This window comes from Homo sapiens, chromosome 7 (genome assembly GCF_000001405.40).
Source record: "Homo sapiens chromosome 7, GRCh38.p14 Primary Assembly".
NCBI lineage: Eukaryota > Metazoa > Chordata > Mammalia > Primates > Hominidae > Homo > Homo sapiens.
Genome location: NC_000007.14, coordinates 156,395,166 through 156,405,213, shown reverse-complemented (window position 1 = coordinate 156,405,213; position 10,048 = coordinate 156,395,166). Strand labels below are relative to the sequence as shown.

Below are 10,048 nucleotides of genomic sequence, written 5' to 3'. Positions count from 1 at the left end.
TATTCGATAATAATAAAATAGGCAAGAGACTTGAAGAGCTGCTTCTCAAAGGAAGATATGTATTCCTTTGTAAAGGGCCAAATGAGCACACAAAGAAGTGCTCAATATCACAGTCATCAGAGGCAAATCAGAACCATTACAGTAGAACACTACACATCTATTAGAATGACTAGAATTTTAAAAAAGGAGCAATTAGAGTTCTAACATATTTCTGGTAGATATGTAAAGTGGTATAATGACTTCAGAAAATGTTTGACAGTTTCTTATTAAACACACACTGAACCTTTGATGTAGTAATTGTACTCCGATGTATTTATTAAAAAAAAGAAAAATATGTCCAAAATATTTGTATCCTAATGGTCATAACACCCTTATTCACAATGATAAAAAACTGGAAACAACTCCAATGGCCATCGATGGGTGAAAAGATAAATTGTGGTGTATTTATTCATACAATGAAGGCCACTAACCGATAAAAAGAAACATGCTATGGACAGAGCCAACAATGTGGATCATTGGCATAGACATTAAGCTGAGAAAAGAAGCCAGACCCCCTGAAGCACATTTTGTATTACACCATTAAGTGATGTTCAAGTACAGGCTAAACTAATCAATGGTGAAATATACACCAGCATTGATTGTCTCTAGGAGGTGGGGCATTGGCTGGGGAAGGACAGGATATGATGTCCTCATGAGGTGGGAATGTTCTAGATCATGAGAGTGTGTGGATTGCACAGGTGTCACTATTTGTCAAAATTATTCAGTTATGAGGCATGCATTTCAATGTGCTTAGATTTATTCTCCAAAAAGGACTGCAAAAAATTATAATGATAATAATTGAGTGGACAGTAGAAAGTGGAAAGTGGTTGGAGGTCAATGAAATAAAAATGGTAGAAGGCATATAATTGTTGAAACTGGTGCTGGATCTTGAGACTTCCACGTATAACCCATAGTGCATGTCTGCAATGACCAAGTCAGGAGGCTGTGGTGCCTCTGCCTTTCCTCACTAGTTGTTTGGTTTCGATCGCCACTCAATCTTGTTGGTGGTGTTAAGGCAGGTGTTGATAACTGTACTGTGAAGTAACTGGAACACGGATCACAGGAACGTGTACCTGCACTAGATGGAGAGCTAAGAAAGAGATCCTAATGCACAGGCCATGCAGACACTGAATGCCCTGTTGGAGAATTCGAGGCATGTTTATTTTCTACTCCTCCACAACAGGTCCAGTTCACTGAGAGTATCTACAGGGAGGACGCGGACTCAAGGAAATGTAGGATTTGGCATTTGTACCATATGAGGAGGAGAATAAGGCCTAGGCCTCTAGGCTTCCTGGAACTGATGAGATTTTAGGAATTCCCTTCCCACTACCCCCACCTCCACCCATGCAAAATAAAACGAAACAAGCCACAAGGTGGTAGATTGTTGAGTAGCAGGATGTGGTGCCTAAGCCCAGAGGTCCAGATTATGACCCATGGACGTTGCACCTGGGAAAGTGGGAAGCAATTTGATTGGCTGGAGGAGAGTGGGTATGCAGTGTCCAAGCCAATCCCGACTGCTAAGTAGGAGGCCGCTCTCTCCATTGTCTTGCAATTTATAAAATTCTACTGATGCTGACAGTTAGAGAGGCAATGTTGTATAACGGAAAGAATCCAGAGTTCAAAGTTTGGAGAATTATGTTGGAGTTCTGCTCTGCTGTTTATTAGGTAATTTGTGGTTCTTTTTTACTGTATTTACTGATACCATCATAACCTCAGCTACTAACATTAGGTAGTTTGTTTAGTTGAATCTTTCTATTTATTGGAGTCATTGTTGAATATTTGTTTGACAACTGAAGATCTTGAAAAGCCTCATGGTAACCATTTTCAAAACCAGTTTTTTTACTGGCTAGAAAGTTAAGGTGATAGGTCTATCCCAGATAGACGCTGGGAAATTCTATGTTTGCATCAATGTTCATTTTCAGAAATGTTTAGATAGTTTACGCTTTTCATTATAGCTTTATTTCTGTTCCTCTGCTCAAGTCTGTCTCCATTTTGCTCTCCAGTCCAGCACATTCAACTACATTCTACTACATTCTATTCATCCATAAACGCCAAGTTCAAATCCGACTCTGTCCACGAAGGCTTCCCTGGTGATCTGGGGTAATATAGCAAATATAAGTAAAATAACCATAATAAAACTTGGATATTAAACATGTATATAAATGTGCTATTGTCGTTCGCTTTACTTTCTGTGACCTTTCTTCTTCCTTTTTTTTTTTTTTTTTTTGAGATGGAGTCTCGCTCTGTCGCCCAGGCTGGAGTGCGGTGGCGCGATCTCAGCTCACTGCCTTTCCTCTTCTTTGAGACACCCGTGGCTCAGGAGGACTAGAATTGGTGCACAGGAGTGGGAAGGGTCAAAGCACGCTGATGTTCAGTGTTTGATGTCCCAAATAGGATCTTTACAATGACAAGACGATCATGAATTCCAGGCTTAGTCAAGAAAGAAAATCTCTAAATTCCTTTATTCCCATTAACCCACTGAGGACAAGGGCTGTGGTTAAGACTTTAGGTCTGAGGTGGAGAAGACCCAGGACAGGAGGACCATGAAGTGACACTCCCTCCTTCTGCCACCGGTTGGGGGAGGAAGGGAGGGGAAGGGCAACAGCGAGGGAAGACGTAAGACGCCTCTTCCTGACTGGCCCTCACAGAGTCAAAGTTTCAGAGGGTGGCGTGTAGTAGTCAACAGCCGGGACATTCACCCACCTCTCCCATGATGCTCTAGCAGGAGTTGCAGCCACACCCAAGATGGCGCCACAGCTGCTGTGGGACTGGCCGGTGGATGAAACTGCGGACATATTCCTGGCTTCCCCGTGGTCTCCTTGGGGTAGGAAGGGAGTCCAGGTGTCCGCTGGGGTCTTGCTGAAGGGATGCAGTGGGGGTAAGTGGCCCAGGGTGTGGGGAGAGACCTGGAGTTAGGGCAAAGAGGAGCTGTTTGTGTGAGGATTTCATAACTAGGGTGTAATGGCCAGAACCCTGTGGCCCCCACAGGCCTGATGGGACTGAGTGTAACTCAGCAGTGACCCGCTCAGGGGTCGCTGAGGTCTCAGTGTAACTCAGCAGTGACCTGCTCAGAGGTCACAGGGTCTCAGCCTGCAGAGCTGAGACCAGCAGGTCCAGAGAGCCCTGAATGTTACCAGGTGCCTCTCCTTCTTGTTGCCATTCGGTCACAGAAACCTCAGACATCTTAGGAATACTGCACATTTACCTGCAAGAGACTATGACTATGGAGAAGACTGGGACGACGTCTTGCACTGTTGTAATTTGTGGTCCTCCTTCCACCCACTCCAAAAGTACACACTTTTTTTTCCCCATGTGCTGTGACTGTCACCATGAGGAGGGACCAGGCAGTGTGGCGCAGCAGAGCGGCTGGCGGGACACGGGGAGCTGCTGGCCTTGTCTCTGGTCCAACTTCCTGGGGATTTAGTGAATTATTAGATGTTCCTGGCCAACTCATCTTTGCTATACACTTTGATACTATGTGATCATTGGTTTTTACTGTGGAACCCGCAGCGCACACCAGAACATTGTCTCATTTACTGACTTAATATGATTTCTCCTCTCCCTCTTCCCAAAAGGATATCCAGGGTTCGGAGAAAGGGCATTTGTTATTTTGCACTCCCTAGCAATTAGCATAGTGCTAGAAAAGTACATGCCCAGTAAATATTAGCTGATTAAAGAGATATGCAAGACCTTGGTCCTTTCTGTGTCATCGATGTTTTCTTGCCCTGAAATCCATTCTAACTGGCACCCGGTGTCTTCTTGGAATGCCCCGTGAAACAAGTCCTTGTTTGCTTTTCCTTCTTGCGTTTAATGAAATAGCAATGTTTATCTTTAATGATGCTGCTGTGAAATGTGCCTCTTCTCAGTTTCACTAGAAATCTAATTTATTTAAGTATTTTAAAGTTCTTTGTCTTCAGAATGTATCTCTGACACAGACTTCAGTTTCTGTATTAGATAACATTGTTTAAACTAGGAAAAACTGTTTTAGTGAAATATTTTTTGTTTAAGTCTGCTGCACCCTGGAACTTTTAATGATTTTACCCTTCTCATTGGAAGGTAGACCATAGTATGCAATGAATGACAGCATCTTTATTTTGAAAGTGGAAGCCATTTCAGAGAGGTGCTTCTGTAATTAAGAAATCAAATAGGCCGGGCGCGGTGGCTCACGCCTGTAATCCCAGCACTTTGGGAGGCTGAGGCAGGTGGATCACCTGAGGTCAAGAGTTTGAGACCATCCTGGCTAACATGGTGAAACCCTGTCTCTACTAAAAATACAAAAATTAGCTGGGCATGGTGATACATGCCTGTAATCCCAGCTACTAGGGAGGCTGAGGCAGGAGAATTGCTTGAACCCAGGGGGCGGAGGTTGCAGTGAGCTAAGACTGCGCCACTGCACTCCAGCCAGAGTGACAGAGCGAGACTCCATCTCAAAAAAAAAAAAAAAAAAAAAAAAGAGAGAGAGAAATCAAATAAACTTGAGTAGGACTCTTTGAAAGGTTCTAGGTACAATTAGAAGGAACCTAATTCCCTCATTCCTGAGTCAAGCTCCTTGTCTTTTTGCCCTTCCCCACAGGCGATGAATAAGTGGTGTGCTGTGTGTTTAGCCTCAGCCCAGTGAGGCAGGTGTGAGGCCCTGTGACCCTGCAGGCTCCACCACTGCTAAGACTTTAGGTCTGAGGTGGAGAAGACCCAGGACAGGAGGACTGTGATGTGACACTCCCTCCTTCTGCCACTGGCTGGGGGAGGAAGGGAGGGGAAGGTCGACAGGGAGGGCAGGTGTAAGACACCTCTTCCTGACTGGCCTTCACAGAATCAGTCTCAGAGGGTGGCATGTGGAGGAGAAGTCAACAGCCAGGGCATTCACCCACCTCTCCCATGATGCTCTAACAGGCGTAAAGAGTGACAGCCCTTGCTCACCACCAACCAGCCAGCAAATGGAATCACAATGCCTGCATCTGCAGAGAAGACGTCCCAATGTAGAGTGTCCGTTAGAATGCACATCCTCACTTGTACCAAGCAGCTGGAAACTGATCGAGCTGCCTGATTTAAGTCACAAGGCTTCAGAAAAGGAGATTCAAAATTTAAAATTTGTTCTACAGAACAAAAATCATCCCTTTAAAAATGCATTTGCAGCTGTGCCCAGTGATGATGGATTTATCGCCTAAACCAGGGATCAGTAAACAATGTGTGCCCTATAAAGAGTGAAACAAGTCCTTGCTCATCCGAGCACTTAATTGCAGTGGTTATATCAAAGCGATATAAAATAATCACCAACCACAAGGAAGGCTGCGTTTTACATAGGTGCCTCTGTCACTGTTTTTCCACCTGTTAAAATGAAAGATTCTTGGAATATCATAATATGTAAAACTTGTTTATGATGCAAATATAAAGATGTCCTTTCATCTTTCTGCAGCTTTGATGTCGTGATATGAAGCTTTGGTGCCCCTCCTTCCAGGCATGCACCCAAGATGTTATCTCATTCGTAAACGTGTGTTCCCTGTGTAAATACATGGGAACCAATTGCGAGATATTCCTGTTTTCAGTACTTTTTATGAGGAATTGGTCCGCTTCTAAATTAATAGAAAGATGAGAAGAGTTTGTTGATATGTTTTTCTTTAATGCTTAGGATAACAGCTTGAGCATCAAGGTAAAGAAAGCCTGTTAAAATGGGGAAATAAAAGTCAGAACCTAAGTAAAGAGTTAATATACTACTTCTAGGCACAAAGGTAAGTCCTCAACACAGCAGAAACACCTACTTGAGTATTCCTCCACTGATAAAAATGTGAATTTCCTTCTCCTGTTTAGGTAAGACAGATACTTCTCATTGTAATACACTTTAACTAGAAAGCTCAGACAGATACTCCTCATTGTAATACACTTTAACTAGAAAGCTCAGACAGATACTCCTCATTGTAATACACTTTAACTAGAAAGCTCAGACAGATACTTCTTATTGTAATACATGTTTAACTAGAAAGCTCAGACAGATACTCCTCATTGTAATACACTTTAACTAGAAAGCTCAGACAGATACTCCTCATTGTAATACACGTTTAGCTAGAAAGCTCAGACAGATACTTCTCATTGTAATACACGTTTAGCTAGAAAGCTCAGACAGATACTCCTCATTGTAATACAAGTTTAACTAGAAAGCTCAGACAGATACTTCTCATTGTAATACACTTTAACTAGAAAGCTCAGTTTTTCTCTCTGTCACATTCTTGGGTCTTACTTTTGGTTAGGATCTCCCAACTTTTAAAAAACATGAATGGTTGGACCCTGCCTTAGACCATTTAAGTAATAATAATTTTTAAAAACCTCTAGGTATGGGCCTGGGCAGAGTTTGTCTTAAAGGCTTCTGGGTCATTCTAATGTAAAACTGGGTTAGAACCGCAGATCTACTGAGTCACATTATCTTTTCATGTTATTTTATTCATATAAAAATATACTTGACCAGGTGCGGTGGCTGAGACCTGTAATCCCAGCACTTTGGGAGGCCAAGGTGGGTGGATCACGAGGTCAGGAGTTCCAGACCAGCCTGGCCAACATGGTGAAAACCCATCTCTACTAAAAATACAAAAAATTAGCTGGGCGTGGTGGCCGGCACCTGTAATCCCAGCTACTTGGGAGGCTGAGGCAGGAGAATGACTTGAGCCCGGGAGGCGGAGATTGCAGTGAGCCGAGATCACGTCACTGCACTCCAGCCTAGGCAACAGTGAGAGACTCTGTCTCAAAAAACAAAACAAAACACAACAAAACAAAACAAAACTCATCATTCAAAGACTCATGAGCACATATGCATAAAGAAACCTATGTTTCCCAGAGAAAAACAGATTGGAAATGATAGTGGGTATGTTATTTTTGTTTATTAGAAAACCTTTGAATGAATACATAAAAACTTTCATGAAAGCTATATCAACATACTAAAAATTTAGTTTTGTCCACTTTAATTTCTGTTGAGGGGGCTGGTCAACTGTGTGACCTGGAGCAGGATTTCAGAGAGAGAATACTGTAAAACAGAAAAACTTCTGTTAGTGGAAAATGCTTAACATTCAAGCCCCCTAAAAATTTGCTCTCAAAATATCCTCTCATTCATTTTAACATCTAGAAATGATCTTCTTTAATATATTTTTTATCCAGAATTATAACATCCAGGAAGTTCATGTAATTAATTATAGTCTCTGTTATTAAAATCATGATGATACTATAACATTTTAAAGGGGGAATGTCATGGATATTTGGGGGGCCAGAAGAGATTTAAGCCTGTGCTGTAACTTGCTGTGCCTATAGGACTATGGATTTTTCTCTCCAAATTGATTCCCTGCACACTCCCCACAGGGTCTGACATGAGTCCTTTAGGTCATTTTCGAATGATGCACTTACATCATGTTTGGTATAATTTTATCGTAATTTGTGAAAGCGGGTCTTCTGCATATATAGGTTCTTTTTCACTGACCAGAATGTTTAATTAATTAGAAGATCCCATCTCACCATCATTCTGCATAATGAGAGTTTACTGTACAGCTATTTTTGGTCGCTTGAAATAGTGGAAAGCTATTCACAGTGATGAGTACCTGAATCTGCTGATTGTAGACATGAGTAATTCACAATATCCCATCAGTCATGAGGGGCGCAGACAAGCTAATTGACCCACTTAACGGATAGCACTCCCCAAAGAGGGCTGTCTTTCATGGCTGAAGCCCCATTAATCAAAAATACTCGTCGGGCTCCTGCTGTGCGCCTTGCATGTTGCTAGGGATGCGGGTACAAAGCGCAAATCAGGACCCTGGGCCCGGAGCATGTTTTGATTTGGCTGGAGAACGCGATGCGCACAGGCAGTGCCGGGAAAACACGCTGCATTCGTGAAAATGATCACGTCGCATGCCCTGGAAAGAAGGTGCCGACTTGCACAGGATGCGAGAAAAGAATCAAAGAATGTGGAAGAGGAAGCCTCTTGCACACACTGAATTCTCAGGGAGGGAGAAAGCACAGAGCCCACATGCAGCAGATGTTAACACGGAAGGAGCAGCATCACGCGTGGCCACCTGAAATACTGTGTGTCTAGGATAAGAAGTAGACACCAAGGGCTGTTGTCGGAGTCTGGGGGAGAAAAAAAAAATCGTCCTCAGTTGCTGGGGATTTTTGCTTTGTTCTGTTTCTGCTTGTGTTTTCTGGTTACACTGGGAGTTTGCTCCAGGAGCACAGCATGGATGCAGTTGGGAAAAGATACCTTTCCATGGGGGAGATTCACAGCCCAAAGTCAAAACAGCCACTTCTGGATTCAAAGTCCAATTAGAAGGTACATATCGCTTCCATTTTATTATTATTAATTAATGAATTTATTTCTTTTTGAGATGGAGTCTTACTCTGTAGCCCAGGCTGGAGGCATGATCTTGGCTCACTGCAACCTCTGCCTCCCGGGTTCAAGTGATTCTCCTGCCTCATCCTCTTGAGTAGCTGGGACTACAGGAACCCCTCACCATGTCCTGCTAATTTTTGTATTTTTAGTAGAGATGGAGTTTCACCATGTGGGCCAGGCTGGTCTTGAACTCCTAGCCTCAAGTGATCCACCCACCTTGGCCTCCCAAAGTGCTCGGATTGCAGGCATGAGCCCTGCGCCCAGCCCATTGCTTCCATTTGACAAGGTAAACGCTCCTTGGGTGTGTAACCGTGGGACGTGGTCACACTTGCAAGTGTATTTATAGCTTTTTTCACTTATAGGTTGCAGGCTAAACTCAATGCCTTTTATTCAGTCAACACTGTCAGTGCCTGAAGTGTACCTCTGTTCACTCTGAGATTGTGTGTTTGTGTGTGCGCACCAGTGCACATACATGGAGAAGGTGTGAGCGGTGGTGGAATGAGAAGAGCTGCCTTGTGCTCTCACGGTCACCCTGCCTACTTGCTCACACCCAACCACCTTCCTAATCCAGGAGCTTCATGAAACCCCGAGGCCTGTCCACAACTCAGAGATGGGGAGATTGGAGGAGCCTGGGGTGGGGGGATGCAGCATTGGGGCCCCGTCTGAGTAACTTTTTGTCCTTTGATTTTGTTTGTGAAAAAATTCAGATTAGATGTGTACATATAACACACACATTCATTCATATATACCATCACAAGCAATACATTTTTTTGCGGTGGTATGTGTGGCTTTGGTAGAGACACTTCAAGTTTTTTGGCGGTGGGAGGGACTGGGGGAGGCTGGGGAGTGTGGGTGGCTCTGGATCTGACAATATATTCTGTCCGCATGACCCCATTAGCTCTGACTTTGTGCTGAAGAAGTGACAATTGAATGAAACCTAACAGCAGGTTTAAAAAAGACCAGAAAATAGGTAATATGAGGCAGAAACTATTTCTAATAACACTCGATAGTCCACACAGGAACCTTCACTGGAAGGAAAGTGGTCAGCCAAAAAGTGATTAGTTCATGCCAAGATGGCCTCTCATTTTTAAATTCAGCAACCAAATGCAATATGTTCCCCCTTCTTCTGTTTCAGCTCCACTTAGCTCTCCCACTTGGGCTCATTTCACCTACTTTTGATTTGATTTACAAATTTGCTATTGGATTTTCGAGGCATCATGGAGCCTCTGCTGGTGCCCGAATACCCATCAGAAGCGCCTCTGTTAAGCTTTTTTGGTGTCACTTCAACTTTCAGTTGTCATCTTATATTCCTGTTGGGATGTAGGCTGAGCACTCACTAATAATATCATTGCAGAGGCTTAAATTGCAGCAGGTGAGATTTGAGTTAGAACTAAGTAGTACAGTCAGCCACTTTAGATATACCGTGTCCCTAAGAATGGGTCAGCATGCAGGGTGGCCCCGAGGGAAATATACCGGCTCTCCCAGATAGTTTAGAAATGTTATGTGTCATCTTGTCTGTCTTATTTTGTCTATTCAGTCCTACTCTGTGTCCTATGTAGAAGCCGTCAAATGGTAGTGAGAAGAGACCTTCAGGGCAGTACAGTGCAGAAACTGTGGCAAAAAGCAGGTGCCATTTGTAACTTGAGAGTA

General features: G+C 43.3%; 2 annotated features.

The window, feature by feature from the left end:
* Positions 2,543-3,043: an enhancer, noted in NCBI's record as "H3K27ac hESC enhancer chr7:156194865-156195365 (GRCh37/hg19 assembly coordinates)". NCBI's record gives its function as "activates a minimal SCP1, AML or CMV promoter by ChIP-STARR-seq in naive H9 embryonic stem cells {active_cell/tissue: H9 hESC(naive)}" and the evidence as "EXISTENCE:reporter gene assay evidence [ECO:0000049][PMID:30033119]".
* Positions 3,044-3,544: an enhancer, noted in NCBI's record as "H3K27ac hESC enhancer chr7:156194364-156194864 (GRCh37/hg19 assembly coordinates)". NCBI's record gives its function as "activates a minimal SCP1, AML or CMV promoter by ChIP-STARR-seq in naive H9 embryonic stem cells {active_cell/tissue: H9 hESC(naive)}" and the evidence as "EXISTENCE:reporter gene assay evidence [ECO:0000049][PMID:30033119]".